Genomic DNA, 18,780 nt, shown 5'->3' on the forward strand with positions numbered 1-18,780 from the left:
GCACAGGAAGCAGTATAATCGTCAACATATCTGCATTGGTTTCCCTTGGTTCCCAAGTCACATGAGGAGACAAAGAGCATCCAGGTAGATGCCTGCACATGCCGTGGGTTGAGGAGTAGGGCAAGAACACTGAGGCTGGGGATCCATTATCTTATAACAAGTAATAAGCAAGCCTGCTCTTTGTCCTGGAGGGAGACATTACTTCATCAGTCAAAGCTGCTTATTGCAAACAAACTGTGAGAAATGTGTTGGGTAAGAATGGTCAGGGACTTGCATCCTTAGCATCCCAGCAGGGATGCTCAGGGCCGCTGGCAGACTGCCTCCCCCAACAATACCTCTCTAGCCCTACATGTTCTTGGCTGAACTTGAATTTTTGCATGAGTATCACTGTGCCAAAATTTCCAGTTCTGGTTTTGATTTTATCCTACTTACAAGCTAATTAGCCCATTACTGTTTCATAGATGCTGGCTTCTGGGTCAGAGACAAAGGTCTTGCATTCTTGGCATAACCAGCAAGAGTACATGGACACTCAGGGCCCATAGTGGGTTGCCTCTCTCAACAATATCCCAAAACATTAGCTACTTAAATGCACTTGTCATGCCTACCCAAGAAGTACTCTGTCAACAGCCACATTAGTAGAAGAAGAAATCAGAAGTTTCCACGGCCTTGCATTTCCAATGGTGGGAGCTTCACTCTTTTCAAACAGCTGTACAAAGAACAAAATCACCACTGCCAGCAAGTAACTCTTTCCTGCTCCAAACACACCTAATTATTTTAAAAGAAGAAAAAAATAAAAAGCATAAAATAAATAAATTTCTTTTTTCTTTTCTTTTTCTTGAGACAGAGTCTCACTCACTCTGTCACCCAGGCTGGAGTGCAGTGACACAATCTCAGCTCACTGTAACCTCCACCTCCCAGGTTCAAGTGATTCTCCTGTCTCAGCCTCCCAAGTAGCTGGGATTACCGGCGTGCACCACCACACCTGGCTAATTTTTGTATTTTTAGTAGAGCCACCATATTGGCAGGCTGGTCTCAAACTCCTGAACTCAAGTGATCCACCTGCCTTGGCCTCCCAAAGTGCTGGAATTACAGGCGTGAGCCACTGTGCCTGGTCAAACATAAATTTCTATAGGTATAACAAATATTTCATCCATCTCTCCCTCCTCCATTTAATTAATTAATGTCTTCAAAATACATTGAGTGTTCACTATGTGCAAAGCACAGGGGATAAATAGATAACCAAAATACTTCCACTTTTAATGAGACCAGCGCCTACTTAAAATGATAAACAAGGAATAATTAGAAATAAGATGGTAAGTAATATTATCTTGGATCAGAGAAGGAAGAAAATCTATCTCTGTTTTGATGGAGGTGGGAGTACTTCCTAAAATTAAGAAGTAGAACTAAGACTTCCAGAATAAGATGTCCAGACTGCTTAGAGATAGGGCCATTCCAGGCAAAGCCATGACAAAGCATGTCGCTGTTAAAATAACTTTTCTATATAACCTCTACCAAATAGGCAAGAGATGAGGCTGATAAGGTAGGCACAGGGGTAAATCACAAAAGCTCTGTTTGCTATAGCTAAACAAAGTTTGAATTTTATCTTAAAGGCCAGCAGATGTCATCTAAAGATTTCAAGCAATGGTTGTTTTTTTTTGTTTTGTTTTGTTTTGAGACAGGGTCTGGCTCTGTTGCCCAGGCTGGAGTGCAGTGGCGCAATCGTGACTCACTGCAACCTCTGCCTCCCAGGCTCAAGCCATCCTCCCACCACAACCTCCAAAGTAGCTGGGACTACAGGTGCATGCCTCCATGTCCAGCTAATTTTTAAATTTTTTTGTAGAGACAGCATTTTGCCATGTTGCCCAGGCTGACCTTGAACTCCTGAGCTTAAGCGAGCTACCCTCCCTGACCTCCCAAAGTGCTGGGATTACAGGTGTGAGGCCAAGCAATGGGTTTGACTTAATCAGATTGTGTTTTTAAAAAACAACTTGAATGAAAATATGAAGTAAGGCAAAACTAGTGGTAGATCAATTAGAAAGTTGTGTGAGATAATTACAACAATAAATGTTAACTTTACTAAGCACCTCCCATGTGCCAAGCACTGTTCTAAGCCCTTTATGTATGTTAACTCATTTAATCCTCCAACCCTATGAGGTGAATGCTATTATGATCTCCATTTTGCAGAGTAGGAAATTAAAGATTAAGAGATATATAACCTGCCCAAAATCATACAGCTAACAAATGATACAGTCAGAACGTAAATTCAGGATTCTAACTCTAGACCCCACACTCTTACCCACTAGGCTATATGGAGGTATGATGAAGGCTTGGATTGAGGGGATACAAGTAAACTGGAGAAGAGACACTCAATATGAAAGATGGATAGAAGCTAGAAGGAACACATCTCAGTGACTAATCTGATGGCGGGAGATGAATAGTGAGAGAATATGAGGAGGATTAAGAGAGAGTCACTTAATCTTGAGAGAAAGAAAAATCTACGATCACTCTCAGATTTGATTTGGTCAACAGGGTGGATATGACATAATTCCTCAAAATAGGACAGAAAAGTAGGATTAGCTTTGGGGTGGAGGTCTATGAGAGAAAATGTGCTACAGAGGCAACAGAGTCCAGATAGAACTATTTACTGTAAGCAGGAGGAAGTAAATCGCCTTCACTGTGACAGAACCAAGCGGTAAGAATAGCTCCAAAATTAGGTAAATTGGAGAAGGAAGGCAGGATATTGAAAGCAGTTTCTGTTATGACCTCCATTTCCTCTTTTAGAGGCAAGATCAAGAGAAAGGACAAGAATGAGGTTATGAGAAGAATTAAGGTTTGTAATCACTGATATAAAGGATAGAAGAGTGAGCTGACTAGGAATAAATAAAAGGTTTTGCTGATCAAGTTAAGTTTACTATAGGAGAGCAACATGTAAACATCTAGATCAATCTGGATACTTTGACCATAAGTTTATAATGCTACTCATTCATCAGATATGCTAATAAGTCTCCCTTTTAGGGTAGTCAGTTCTGTTCTCATCTAACAGTTTACCAAAGTGGGTACAGGTTTAAAAAGTCTACTTAGAGTTATTCTTGAACCTCATTTGACTAGGAAATTATAAAGGAGCAGACTGAGTTACAAAAGCTTACAAATAGAAAACAATTACAATTATTTTCTTTCTTGCTTCTTACCATGTATGATTGTGATAGGGAAGGTATGAGTTTGCAGTTCCTTCACTTCTTCAATGCTTTCATGTGATGCCATCATTTGAGCTATTTGAATTAGAGCTGTAGCTTGATCCTTGTTTAACTTGTGTACCTGAATCAACTCACTAGCTAACTTCAATGTTGCTCCTAGGCTGAGTAGTTCAAATTTTGTACTGACATTTGTGAAGGCTGGTGGGATAAATTTTCTCTTACTGACTCTTTTGTTACTAACTATAGTTGGCGAAGACCTAATAAAAATGAAGCAAATAAACAATTTTAAAAAAAGGGGCATTTGAAAAAGATGAGTAGAATAATTCATAACTTAGCCATCACTTTGTAAGCATTACAGAGAACAGTTTTTTATGGAAATAAACAGTAAGTGGATATATACTGTAAATGGATACATACTCCAATATCGAGGAGGGTAGAAGAGAACTGACGTTTGTTGAATACTTACTACATGCTGACACTTTGTTGAGCATTTTACATATTACTTGATGAAATCTTCACAACAACACTAGGAAATAGTTAGTTAATTATCCCAAGTACAGATACAAGAATATTGAATTTTTTCCCCCAATACCACACCACAAATAAGTGGCGGACTGACTTTAAAACCCATGCTCTATTATACAAACCTAACTTAGATAATTAATCTAGCCCTCATTTCAGGTAAAACTACATCACATGAATTGGTCTTATTTCTATTTCCATGAAAATTCATTTCAAATTGGATAAATAACATAATGAAATCAAAGGATATTTATTTTTTTACCTAGGACTTCATTGTAGTGAGAAAAATAAAACATCACAGGTAGATAATAATATTCCAAATTGAAAACTGGATTTTCCTATCAATTTTAATGCATTTAATATAATATCACTTCCAATTTTTTAAAAAGGGACATGGTGCTTGAGAAATTCAAAATGAGATATGGCTATATCGAGAATAAAATCAGTAGCAATATACACACTGGATTCCAGCTGTAAAATGATTCCTTTAAATGTTAAATAATTTGTAATATAAAAATACAGATAATAAAAAATAAAATCAATACTGAAATGATCCTTAAATTATCTCTTGATGAAGTGAAAATGTACAGTAACATTTATTAGCTCAAACCTTAATAAACAGATGAAAAATAATGCATAATTCCTTTTCTCTTTTTTTTTTTTTTTTTTTTTGAGATAGAGTTTCACTTGTTGCCCAGGCTGGGGTGCAATGGCACCCGGCTCACCGCAACCTCCGCCTCCCAGGTTCAAGCAATTCTCCTGCCTCAGCCTCCCGAATAGCTGTGATTACAGGCATGCGCCAGTATGCCCAGCTAATTTTGTATTTTTAGTAGAGACAGGGTTTCTCCATGTTGGTCAGGCTGGTCTCGAACTCCCGACCTCTGGTGATCTGCCCACCTCGGCCTCCCAAAGTGCTGGGATTACAGGCATGAGCCACTGCACCCAGCCCCTTTTCTCTTTTTAACCACTGACAGAGAATAATGTCATAGTCTGAAAAATAATTACAATTTTATTGGCAACATTTATATACTGTACTTTTATTGAATTTTCATATTTACTTCTGATTACCATTTTTTAATACCAATGACTCAAAGGTAAAAAATGACTTACGTTGTTAACAGGTACTGTGTTAGAGGTAGAGTAGCTGGATTAAAGTAGTCCTGAATGTTTTTCAAAGTAGTCAGTTCTGTGCTAGCATTACAAACCAATAACGCATGGACAACCACTGTACAGAGGATGCAGAAAATAAACATTTGATGTAAATAAAATGGACCATAAAAACTCTGTGTTAAATGCCCACATAACTCAGAGTTCAGCTACTGAATTAAGCACATGACATAAAACAAACCCTTAAACACACACAGAGATCCCAAACTTATATTCATTAAATTACTATGCTATCTGCTCATTCATTTTATAATGGGTATGCATAAACTGCATAATTTAAATCATATTTGGACTTCCATATATCAGCAAATGAACAAGAACACCTGTTTTGAGTTAGTACCTAGTAGCACAACTTCACAGCCAGCAGTTTCCTTTAATCAACATATCACTTGTGCCACAGAGTAGTATTTGTATAATTTTTAAACACTTTCTTGCATTTTTTCCTCAATTACTTCACAGAAATATATGGAAAACAGAAAATCAGAATAATCTAATTAGAAAATTAGAACAAAACAATCCCCCACACACCATTCTTCCTCACAGAAATATCTATATATTCAACTTCATACACATTTTCAGGAACTCACTGTACACAACAGTCGAAACTAGAGTTGGGTCCTTTTTGTTGGCTTTAATCAAACAGTGCATCTTATGTCTATCATTCTTTTTAAATATAAACTAAAATGAGCATAGTAATACTCACTGTTAGTGGGCCAATTAGAAGGGAAATAGCCTTTCAAAGGCAGTATTTCTATCTCATTGATAGATGATGGTCCAAAGAAAGCACTACATGCGATAAAAGTATCCAGCTCAAAGTCTAGGGTTTTTGAAACCACCCAAAGATCATCTGAAAAGACAAACATTTTTAAATATTACACAGACATATACAGTATGGTTTTATATTTTTAGAAATTATATATATTTGCATATGTGTGTACATATATCTATAGTACACATATACATACACAAGATGAGAAGTAAAGTTCTGGAAAGATAATTCATCAACTATCAACCTAAAGGTTGGGAGTGCTCTGAACAAAAGAACCAGCATCAGATTCTGCAATTAATACAGTACCACTTGAATCACACAGAAAAAGACTAAAGAGATGGCAGAATTACAGGGTGAGGAAGAAGGAGGGCAGAGACATCACATGGGAAGATGAGTTTGCTACAATGGAAATCCCTAGGTTTTGCATAAACCCACAGAAGGCCTAAGAAGGCAGGACATGGGCTAGCCCATAAGACTATTTTATTAGTCCGTTCAGGCTGCCATAACAAAATATCTTAAATGAGTAATTTATTAAGATGATTAATATCTTAAATGAGAAATGTATTTCTCATAGCAGTTCTGGAAGCTAAAAAGCCCAAGATCAAGGTGCCAGCACAGCACCAGTGAATAACCAGTGAAGGCTCATTCTCACTTTGCAGATGGTGCAAAGGGGCCAAGGCACTCCCTTTAACCTCTCTTATAAGGCCACTAATCCCATGCAGGATTAAGTTATGCAGCGCCCACATGACTTAATCATTGCCCAAAGGCCCCAGCTCTTAATACACTGGCAATCAAATTTCAAAGTATGTATTTGGCAGTGGGAACGGACGGCAGGGAACACATTTAGACCACAGTAACCACTTAACAAGCTACAAAAAAAAGTAATATTGGACTCAGTTCAGGCTGAGAAAACCAACTGCCAGGGCATCAGCAATTGGAATAGTGCCAAAGATCAGATCAGTAAGGATATTAGCAGTTCTAGCAAGCTGAGAAATAATCACAAAATAGTAATATACTATTCCATTTTCACTAACAAGCTTCTTTCAGGAAAGCTGACCTTCCTCCTCTCTTGTAACTACTTAGTAATTAGTATGTGAATCTTGTGATATTAAAAGTAGGCACAGAGAAGAACAGGGTTTTTAAAAATGAGAAACGTGTGGAAGCCCTGAAAGAGAGACTAAACTGGGCAGCGACTAAGATTTCAATACCCAAATGCATCTGAATTTTACTGGACAAAATCTATCAAATTGGATTCATCTTAAATTTTCTCTGCTGCAAATAGGAATGAGAGATTGAAGTGAAGAAAATAAACTGAAGAGAACCTTAAGACTGAATATATCTAGTAATTATTTAATCATATGCATTTCACAACGGTAACCTATAAGGAATGAAAATGAAAGGTATTAAAGTAAGACTTTCACTTTTAACTGTATATATTTCTTTATACCTTCATTTTTCATTGTATATATTTATGTATTACTTGTTTAATTTTTTTTCCCCCAAATGCTGGCTTGGAGATTTTTAATTTTTAAAAAATGATCACAAATGCTTAATTTCTAAAAATCCAACCACTTCATGAATGTCTTCTATGTGATATACATTTAAAAAATAAAAACATACATAATGTTCCTGCACAAAAGTTTCCTTCGAAGGTCACATTATAAATTCTTTTTACTGAATTGTGTTCGCAGCCGCCACCGCGCCGCCGTCGCTCTCCAACGCCAGCGCCGCCTGTCGCTGACCAAGCTCCAGCCGAAGGAGAAATGAGGTAAGTAAGGAGGTCTCTGTACCATGGCTCGTACAAGGCAGACTGCCCACAAATCAACCGGTGGTAAACCACCCAGGAAGCAACTGGCTACAAAAGCCGCTCGCAAGAGTGTGCCCTCTACTGGAGGGGTGAAGAAACCTCATCGTTACAGGCCTGGTACTGTGGCGCTCCGTGAAATTAGATGTTATCAGAAGTCCACTGAACTTCTGATTCGCTAACTTCCCTTCCAGCGTCTGGTGCGAGAAATTGCTCAGGACTTTAAAACAGATCTGCACTTCCAGAGCGCAGCTATCGGTGCTTTGCAGGAGGCAAGTGAGGCCTATCTGGTTGGCCTTTTTGAAGACACCAACCTGTGTGCTATCCATGCCAAACGTGTAACAATTATGCCAAAAGACATCCAGCTAGCATGCCACATACGTTGAGAATGTGCTTTAGAATCCACTATGATGGGAAACATTTCATTCTCAAAAAAAAAAAAAAAAAAATTCTCTTCTTCCTGTTATTGGTAGTTCTGAACGTTAGGTATTTTTTTTCCATGGGGTCAAAAAAAGAGCTTCTGCACAGCAAAAGAAACTACCATCAGAGTGAACAGGCAACCTACAAAATGGGAGAAAATTTTCACAACCTACTCATCTGACAAAGGGCTAATATCCAGAATCTACGATGAACTCCAACAAATTTATAAGAAAAAAACAAACAACCCCATCAAAAAGTGGGCGAAGGACATGAACAGATGCTTCTCAAAAGAAGACATTTATGCAGCCAAAAAACACATGAAAAAATGCTCACCATCACTGGCCATCAGAGAAATGCAAATCAAAACCACAATGAGATACCATCTCACACCAGTTAGAATGGCAGTCATTAAAAAGTCAGGAAACAACAGGTGCTGGAGAGGATGTGGAGAAATAGCAACACTTTTACACTGTTGGTGGGACTGTAAACTAGTTCAACCCTGTGGAAGTCAGTGTGGTGATTCCTCAGGGATCTAGAACTAGAAATACCATTTGACCCAGCCATCCCATTACTGGGTATACACCCAAAGGACTATAAATCATGCTGCTATAAAGACACATGCACACATATGTTTATTACGGCACTATTCACAATAGCAAAGACTTGGAACCAACCCAAATGTCCAACAATAATAGACTGGATTAAGAAAATGTGGCACACCATGGAATACTATGCAGCCATAAAAAATGATGAGTTCATGTCCTTTGTAGGGACATGGATGAAATTGGAAATCATCATTCTCAGTAAACTATCACAAGAACAAAAAACCAAACACCACGTATTCTCACTCATAGGTGGGAATTGAACAATGAGAACACATGGACACAGGAAGGGGAACATCACACTCTGGGGACTGTTGTGGGGTGGGGGGAGGGGGGAGGGATAGCTTTAGGAGATATACCTAATGCTAAATGATGAGTTAATGGGTGCAGCACACCAGCATGGCACATGTATACATATGTAACTAACCTGCACAATGTGCACATGTACCCTAAAACTTAAAGTATAATAATAATAAAATAAAATAAATAAATAAATAAAAAATAAATTTTTTACTTACTGAATTAATAACATAATTCAAAACATGCAAAACAATGCTCAAAAACACTTTTGAATTAAAAAAATAAAGATATAGGGGATTCCTGATTCTGGTGTCATCTAAGATGCTGAATTAGTATGATTGTTGGCTTCCTTTCTGTGGGGAACAGAGAGAGAAGTGGAGAAAACCATGGAAAACCTCGAGTTGGAGGGCCTGTTTTGTACTGGGGTTTGTGTCCCTGAAGTGATTTTGGCCAAGGGCAGAAGGCCTGTAGAGGAGGAGGGGATCAAAGAGGGTGGGGAGGCTCTTGGGGTTCTGTTCTTACTTCCCATCCCATCCTCTTCCCCATCCCCAATTGTACTGGGACAAATAGGGCCTACCCATCCATAAGGCAATTTATACTTCTGGTCCAGAAATCCTCTGGAGGAAAAAAAAAAAAATCAGGGTAGCAATGCAAGTTCTGTGCCATAAAGTGTGGAGAAAAACAGATGGTAACTCACTGATCACAGGCAGTCTCCACCTCACCTCCAAACTCCTAGGGCTAAAGAATTCTACAGTCTAAGAAATGATACATCTTAATGTTGCTTTTTCCTTTTAACCAGAGGTTTTAGACTTCACTTTAGGGATTGTTCTGCAGGTAGTTGTGGTTTTCTGGTGCCTGGGGCTCTCCACCCCATAGCTCATTTACACCCTCAACTCCCTGAGCTCCTTGGAGCTGACCAGATTGGGATGGGCCTTCCCCAACATATACTGCCAGAAAGAAAAGCTCATAACGCCAGGGAAAAATGAGTTCACAGGCCAAAATATTGAGACATTCAAGGAACACAAAGACTTAAAAAAAAAACAAAAACTGGACTATAGAATCATATAGAAAAGGGAAAGCCAGAATTGATGGGCAAATAATTTAAATTTGGCCTGATAAAGAGATGTAAAGAGGTAAAGGAAGATGGTAACAATGTAAAATAATGACAGCCGAGTGCAGTGGCACACAACTGTAGTCCTAGCTACTTGGGAGGCTGAGATGACAGAATTGCTTGAGCCCCAGAGTTTGAGGCCAGCCTAGGCAAAACAGTGAGGCCTCATCTCAATAAATAAATACATATGCACATACATACAAGAAAACAGGCCAGGCACAATGGCTCACACCTATAATCCCAACACTTTAGGAGGCTGAGTCAGGGGGATAACTTAAGCCCACGAGTTCGAGATGTGCCAGGGCAACATAGCAAGACCCCATGGCTACAAAAAATAAAAACATTAGCTGGGTGTAGTGGCTTGAACCTGTAGTCCCAGCTAGTCAGAACGCTGAGGTGGGAGGATCACTAGGGCCTAGGAGGTCAACGCTGCAGTGAGCCGTGATTGCTCTACTCCAGCCTGGGTGACAGAGTGAGACCCTGTCTCAAAAATTAAAAAACAAAAACAAACAAACAAAAAAAACAGGAAAAAGAAATGAACAGAAATATTAGGTTGGAAAAATATAATTGATAAATAGCAGGATGAATACATTTGAGGAATCAATAGCCAATTCAGATAATCATATTGATGATATTTCCCAGAAGGAAGAAAGGACAAAAATTCAGGAAATATAAAGGAAAAACTAAGAGATTTGGAAGACAGATTCAGAAGTGCTAATATTTAAATAATAAAAGACCTAGAAAGGAGGGAAAGAATAAAGAGATAAATAGGAAGCTTATTTGAAGAAATAATGAAGATCCATTTCCCAGAAGTAAAAAAAAGATGATGAACTTTAGATTTAAAAGGCCCATAATGTGCCCAAGAGGAGAAACAAGGAAAAACCCAGTTAGACACTGTATAGAGAAATATAAGACTATCAAAGAAATCAAGAAAATTCTAAAACTCCCAGCCAGAAAGACCACATAACACATAAAGAAATAAGACTCAGAGTGCCGGCCAGGTGTGGTGGCTCACGCTTGTAATCCTAGCACTTTGGGAGGCCGCGGTGGGTGGATCACCTGAGGTCAGGAGTTCGACACCAGCCTGACCAACATGGTGAAACCGTGTCTCTACTACAAATAAAAAAAACTAGCCAGGCATAGTGGTGGACACCTGTAATCCCAGCTACTTGGAGGCAGAGGCAGCAGAACCGCTTGAACCCGGGAGGTGGAGGTTGCAGTGAGCCCAGATTGCACCACTGCATTCCAGCCCGGGTGACGAGAGTGAAACTCTGTCTCAAAAAAAAAAAAAAAAAAAAAAAGCCAGGCGTGGTGGCTCACGCCTGTAATCCCAGCACTTTGGGAGGCCAAGGCGGGCAGATTACAAGGTCAAGAGATCGAGACCATCCTGGCCAACATGGTGAAACCCTATCTCTACTAAAAATACAAAAATTAGCTGTGCATGGTGGTGTGCGCCTGTAGTCCCAGCTAATCAGGAGGCTGAGGAAGGAGAATCACCTCATCATTCAGGAGGCGGAGGTTGCAGTGAGCTGAGATCACGCCACTGCACTCCAGCCTGGCGACAGAGCAAGACTCCATCTCAGAAAAAAAAATAAAATCACAGTGCCATCAGACTTTCAAACAGTGAATACAAGATGATAACTAAGTATATTAAATGTTGGATTAAAATATTTGAAAGTGCTGTTTTTGTAGGTTGAAAGTATTAAAGGAAAAGAACTTAGAACCTAAAATTTTATATGTAGCCAAATTATTGTCCAAAGAAAGATAGAAAATAGATCTATACTAACCAAGTGTTTCAAGATTTAGACTAGAACTACTCAAAGTAGGCTGTCCTAAACAGTTTGTTATTGGTCTGTAACAAGAAGCTTGTGCTAGAATATAATCCAATAAATCAACATAATGCTTCCTTCATTCAGAAAGCTTGCTACAAATAAAACAAAATACAGCTAAACTAAACAGCATGCTAATGATATAGATGATTTACATTCTGGAGCAGCTCCTCAGCTCTTTTTGGGAACCAGTAAGTTTGTGGACCAGAACCAGCCTACAGACTCTACCTTGAGTAGCACTAGTCTAGATTTTGTCAACTGGGGGCAGGGCGGGCAAGAGTAAGGAAAGGGATCAGGGGAAGAACCAAGGGATGTGGGTGCTTTCTAAGTATCTGTTTTATTGGGGGCAGGGATAAGATTTAAATATCAATTTATTTTTTAAAAGTAAGAAATTATTTTAAAAAGCATAGTAAAATTAGAATAAACAAAAATAATTTAAGATTAAAGAAACACATCCAGGTGTCAATTACTATAATAAATTCAACTATCGGGCTTATTCTATTTACAAGTCACGTCTTTAAAATTGAGACATATGCTGTTTATAAGGAACACCTGTAAAATATGAAGAAAGAAAGATAAAAAAATGAAAAAAGACTTATGAAACTAATACTAGTCAAAATAAACTTAGCATATCTACATTAACAGATAGATTTTTAAGAAAAAATTATTAGAGATGGAAAGGATCATCTCTACATGATGATGTAAGTTTACCCTGAAGTTAATAATTTAAAACATATATGTACCCAATAAAATAGCCCTAATATATAAGATGCAAAAAGTAATAAATAGCAGACAGAGAGTGCACCACAGAGGAAGTTTGCAACTCATCTCCCTTAATTACTTAGATAACTGCCACAAAAAGTTAGCAAGACTATATAGAAGATCTGGACAAGACAATTAATAAGCTTGATCTGATCATTAAAGAGTTTTGAATTCAACAATTAGAGAAAATGTATTTCTCTTGTACTATGCCATTAAAAAAAAACCTTAATAATATCACTTCTCAGTCTTTTGGCTACAATCAAGTGTACAAAAACCTTAGTAGGCTAGTCGTGGTGGCTCACGCCTGTAATCCTAGCACTTTGGGAGGCTGAAGAGGGCAGACCACTTGAGGCTAGGAGTTTGAGACCAGCCTGGCCAACATGGTGAAAACCTGTCTCTACTAAAAATAGAAAATTTAGTGGGTGTGGTGGTGGGTGCCTGTAATCCCAGCTACTTGGGAGGCTGAGGCAGAATGGCTTGAACCTGGGAGACACAGGTTGCAGTGAGCTGAGATCATGCCACTGCACTCCATCCTGGGCAACAGAGCAAGACTCTGTCTCAAACATACATACATACATAAATTTAATAAATTTTAAAGAATAATATTATAAAAATCATAATGTCTACCTATTACATATTTAAGTCAGAAGTTAACAAAAAGTTCAACTAGAAATTCCTTACATTTTTAATATTAAAACACATGCTAAATGACTCACAGGTTAAAAAAAATCATAATGGAAAACTTAAAACAAACTGAATTATAATGAAAAAAATACTTCAGCAAAAATAGAGTGGTAGGCCAGGCATGGAGGCTCACATCTGTAAACTCAACACTTTGGGAGCCCAGGCACGCAGATCACTTGAGGTGAGGAGTTCAAGACCAACCTGGCCACCATGGTGAAACCCTGTCTCTACTAAAAATACAAAAAGTTAGCTGGGTGTGGTGGTAGGTGCCTGTAGTCCCAGCTACTCGGGAAGCTGAGGCAGGAGAATCACTTGAACCCAGGAGGTGGAGGTTGCAGTGAGCCAAGATTGTGCCACTGCACTCAGCCTGGGCAACAGAGCCAGACTGCATTTCAAAAAAAAAAAAAAAGAGTGGTACTTTAAGGAAAACTTACAGCCCTAATAATTATATTAGAGAAGAGAAAAGCCTCAAAATTAGCTAAGTATCAAGCTTAAGATGTGTAAAAAGAACAGTATACTATCCTAAACAAAATAGAAGAAATCATAAAAATTAGAGAGGAAGCCAATAACAACAATAAAAACAAAACAAAAATACATTGCTGATCTTCTGATCAATAAAGCCAAGTCAGTTCTTCGAAAACAATAACAAAATAAGACAAACCTCAGGCAAGACTGGTCAGAAGAATAAAAACACAAACAATACAATGGTATCAGAGAATATGAATAAATTTAAGATAAAAATATTCAAAACTTCTACAGGGAAATTTGCAAAACTTTATTATAAGATGTTACAAACAATTTTTAAATAAACAGAGATACAGCAAGTACATGGTATTAAATCTTAATTTTTTTTTTTTCTGAGACAAGGTCTCACTATGTTGCCCAGGCTGGTCTCCAAACTCCTGAGCTCAAGCTATCCTCCTGTCTTGGCCTCCCAAAGTGTCGGGATTACAGGCGTGAGCCACCATGCTCAGCCCTAAATCTTGGTATTTTAAAGATGTCATCCCTTCTCAACTTTATAGGTACAATTCCAATTAAGATCCCAACAAGTTTTTCATGAAACTTGATAAGATGATTCTAAAATATATATGAAAGAGTAAAGGACCAAGAACAGCCAGGTCACATCTAAGAACAGAGAGGGGAACTTGCACTATTTGATATTTGGATTTATGAAGCCATGGTAATTAAGGCAGTGTGGAACTGGTACAACAATATACAAATTAACCTACAGTATAAAATAGGGAGTCAAGAACACACACAGCTACTTTAAACCTGATTATATGACAGAGGTAGCATTTCAGATCAGTGAGGAAAAGAGAGACTAATCAATAAAAAATGGTTACTATTCTAGCAAAATTGGTAATTAAAAAGAAAAAGATGAAACTGGATCCCTACTTCATACCATATACAAAAGAAAAAAGAATCAACTTCAAGTGGACTGAAGATTTAAATCTCATAGCCACCAAAACAGCATGGTACTGGTATAAAAACAGGCACACAAACCAATAGAACAGAATAGAGAGCCCAGAAATAAAGCCAAATACTTAGAGCCAACTGATCTTTGACAAAACAAACAAAAACATAAAGTGGAGAAAAAACACCCTATTCAACAAATGGTGCTGGGATAACTAGCAAGCCACATGTGGAGGAATGAAATTGGATCCTCATCTCTCACCTTATACAAAATTCAACTAAACATGGATCGAGGATTTAAATCTAAGACCTGAAACCATAAAAATTCTAGAACATCAGAAAAACCCTTCTGACTTTGGCTTAGGCTAAGACTTCATGACCAAAAACCCAAAAGCAAATACAATAAAAACAAAGCTAAATAAGTGGAACTTAATTAAACTATTAGTAAAAAGCTTCTGCACAGCAAAATTAACAATCATCAGGGTAAACAGACAACCCACAGAGTGGGAGAAAATATTCACAATCTATACATCTGACAAACGATTAACACTCAGAATCTACAAGGAACTCAAACAAATCAGCAAGAAAAAAACCAAATGATCCCATCAAAAAGTGGGCTAAGGACATGAATAGACAATTCTCAAAAGAAGATACACAAATGGCCAACAAACATGAAAAAATGCTCAACATCCCTAATGATCAGGGAAATGCAAATCAAAACCACAAGGCAATACTGCCTTAATCCTGCAAGAATGGCCATAATCAAAAAATCAAAATTAATAGATGTTGGCAGGGATGAAAGGGAACACTTTTACACTGCTAGTGGAAATGTAATCTAGTACAACCAGTGGAAAACAGTGTGGAGATTCCTTAAAGAACTAAAAGTAGAACTACCATTTGATCCAACAATCCCACTACTGGGTATCTATTCAGAGGAAAACACAAAAAAGATACTTACACGTTTATAGCAGCACAATTCCCAATTACAAAAATATGGAACCAGCCCAAATGCCTATCAATCAACAAGTGGATAAAGAAATTGTGATACACACACACACACACACACACACACACACACACCCATGGAATACTATTCAGCCATAAAAAGAAACGAATAATGGCATTTGCAACAACCTGGATGGAACTGGAGACCACTATTCTAAGTGAAGTAACTCAGGAATGGAAAAATCAAACATCGTATGTTCTTACTCATAAGTGGGAGCTAAGTTATGAGGGTACAAAGGCATAATAATAATACAATGGACTTTGGGGACTCAGGGGAAAGGGTAAGGGGGGCAGTGAAGGATAAAAAGACTACAAATTTGATACGGTGTATACTGATCAGGTGATAGGTGTAGCAAAATCTCAGAAATCACTACTAAAGAGCTTATTCACGTAACCAAACACCACCTGTTCCCTCAAAAAATTATGGAAATTAATAATAAAGATTTAAATGTCAAAAACCAAACCGTAAAACATTTAGTAGAAAATATAGGTGAGTAATTTTAGAACTCAGCATAGGAAAAGATTTTTAAGGTAAGATGCAAAAAGCACTGTCAAAAAGAAAAGATTACTAATAAATATGACTATTCTAAAATTAAGAATTTTTATTTATCTAAAGACACCTTAAAGTAAGTGAAAAGACATGATCTGATGAGCAGATATTTATAATATACATAATCAACAAAGAATATGAAGAATACATAAAGAACTTCTATAAATAAAAGAAGGTTATAAAGAACCCAATAGTAAAATGGCTAAGAAGAAACACATGTAACTAAAAAACACATGAAGAGTATTTTAACATCAGTGGTGAGCAGAGAAGTGTGAGCTAAAACCACAATGCAATCATCTTATACTCATTTGAATGGGTTGATCCATAAGATCTCTTATACTTAGAATGAGTACAAACTGATAGAGCCACTTTGGAAATCAGTTTGGCATCACAATCTAAAGATGTGTGAAGTATGTTCATATGCTGTAAGGCAGCATTTTCATTCCTAGAGTAATATTCAAAAGAAACCCATACATGTCTAAAAGACAGTACAAGAATAATATTCATAACACCCTGTTCACAATGGTAAAACTTAGAAACCCAAACAACAATGAAAACAATAAACTATAGCATGTTTACAAAATATTATACAACAGTCAAAACAAATAATCTAGACTCTAGATTTGAGAACAACATGGATAAATTGTAGCAACATACTAACCAAAAAAAGATAAATTCCAAAAGATTATATACAGAATGACATCATTTTAGTAAGGTCTAAAAAAACTAAAAATTTTATATAGCTCTTTAGGAATTCATTTACATAAATCTATACACAGAAGAAAGAAAAATGCTGGTGAGTGCAAGGATCAAAATGATAATTACCTTGGGTTTGGAGAGACAAGATGAGGTAATGGGGTTAACTTAAATGTAGGTTGGTATAAAGGTACTAGATTTTGATTTGGTTTGTGGGCTCACAGATGCTTATTGTATTATTTTAAGTAAGTTACTAATTAAATAACTAAATGAAGGTGAGCTATGTGAGGACCAATGACTAAGAGTAGGTCACAAAATCTCAAATAATGATTAATCCAACTTAGTGTACCTAAGGTCCTTTAAAAACACTCAATGCTGGCCGGGCATGGTGGCTCATGTCTGTAATCCCATGGGAGGCCAAGGTGGGTGGATCACCTGAGGCCAGGAGTTCAAGACCAGGCTGGCCAACATGGTGAAACCCTGTCTCTACTAAAAATACAAAAATTAGCTGGATGTGGTAGCGCGCATCTGTAATCCCACCTACTCGGGAGACTGAGGCAGAATAATCACTTGAACCCAGGAGGCAGAGACTGCAGTGAACCTAGATCACGCTACTGCACTCCAGCTTCAGCAACAGAGTGAGACTCTGTCTCAGGAAAAAAAAAAACAAGCAAACAAAAAAAAAACAATGTTTAAAGAATTTTATTTCCAAATATACAAAATTTGGGGTTCAATGTTGCCAAATTACATAGACAATAAAAGAAGCATCAACAAACTTATTATTACGTATTTTCAGTTTATTTTCGACATTAAATCAGAGCACAGTTGAATCAATATACTTACTTATATGATTCCAAGAACTAATTAAATGTTTCTCGTATCCCTTTTAATAAAGTTTTTAAAAAGGCCTAACATTTGGGGGGAAGAGCCAAGATGGCCAAATAAGAACAGCTCCAGTCTACAGCTCCCAGCGTGAGCAATGCAGAAGACGGGTGATTTCTGCATTTCCAACTGAGATACCGGGTTCATCTCACTGGGGAGTGTTGGACAGTGGGTGCAGGACAGTGGGTGCAGTGCACCGAGCATGAGCCGAAGCAGGGTGAGGCATCGCCTCACCCGGGAAGTGCAAGGGGTCAGGGAATTCTCTTTCCTAGTCAAAGAAAGGTGTGACAGACGGCACCTGGAAAATTTGGGTCACTCCCACTCTAATACTGCGCTTTTCCAACAGTCTTAGCAAACAGCACACCAGGATATTATATCCCGTGCCTGGATCAGAGGGTCCTACACCCACGGAGCCTCGCTCATTGCTAACAGAGCAGTCTCAGATCAAACTGCAAGGCAGGAGCTAGGCCAGGGGAAGGGGTGCCTGCCATTGCAGAGGCTTGAGTAGGTAAACAAAGTGGCAGGAAGCTCGAACTGGGTGGAGCCCACCGCAGCTCATGGAGGACTGCCTGCCTCTGTAGACTCCCCCTCTGGGGGGCAGGACTTAGCCAAACAAAAGGCAACAGACACCTCTGCAGACTTAAATGTCCCTGTCTGACAGCTTTGAAGAGAGTAGTGGTTCTCCCAGCACGCAGCTGGACATCTGAGAATGGACAGACTGCATCCTCAAGTGGGTCCCTGACCCCCAAGTAGCCTAACTGGGAGGCACCCCCCAGTAGGGGCAGACTGACAACTCACACGGCTGGGTACTCCTCTGAGACAAAACTTCCAGAGGAACAATCAGGCAGCAACATTTGCTGTTCACCAATATCCGCTGTTCTGCAGCCTCCGCTGCTGATACCCAGGCAAACAGGGTCTGGAGTGGACCTCCAGCAAACTCCAACAGACCTGCAGCTGAGGGTCCTGACTGTTAGAGGGAAAATTAACAAACAGAAAGGACATCCAAACCAAAACCCCATCTGTACGTCACCATCATCAAAGACCAATGGTAGATAAAACCACAAAGATGG

At 38.4% G+C, this 18,780-nt stretch overlaps 1 protein-coding gene and 1 pseudogene across 28 annotated transcripts in view; one reads left to right on the plus strand and one right to left on the minus strand.

The window, feature by feature from the left end:
* ZGRF1 (zinc finger GRF-type containing 1) overlaps positions 1-18,780 on the minus strand; it is a 97,571-nt gene that overhangs the window by 18,206 nt on the left and 60,585 nt on the right. For 25 of the 27 annotated variants that reach the window (XR_938764.2, XM_047415917.1, XM_047415914.1 and 22 more), the window contains 4 exons: positions 5,587-5,730; positions 4,827-4,941; positions 3,189-3,451; positions 606-765 (listed from right to left, as the gene is read on the minus strand). Coding sequence is in view for 26 of the 27 variants with exons in the window: in XM_047415917.1 (XP_047271873.1) it covers positions 606-765; positions 3,189-3,451; positions 4,827-4,941; positions 5,587-5,730 (682 nt within the window). In the remaining variant the exon portion in view is untranslated. Of the gene's footprint in view, positions 1-605; positions 766-3,188; positions 3,721-4,737; positions 4,942-5,586; positions 5,731-18,780 lie in introns of those variants that run through there. The other 2 variants (XM_011532096.3, XM_047415922.1) reach the window with 2 other exon arrangements.
* Positions 7,328-7,936, plus strand: H3P14 (H3 histone pseudogene 14; annotated as a pseudogene). The gene has a single exon (XR_007058230.1). The product of XR_007058230.1 is annotated as a H3 histone pseudogene 14, transcript variant X1 (transcript).

This window comes from Homo sapiens, chromosome 4 (genome assembly GCF_000001405.40).
Source record: "Homo sapiens chromosome 4, GRCh38.p14 Primary Assembly".
Classification (NCBI taxonomy): Eukaryota; Metazoa; Chordata; class Mammalia; order Primates; family Hominidae; genus Homo; species Homo sapiens.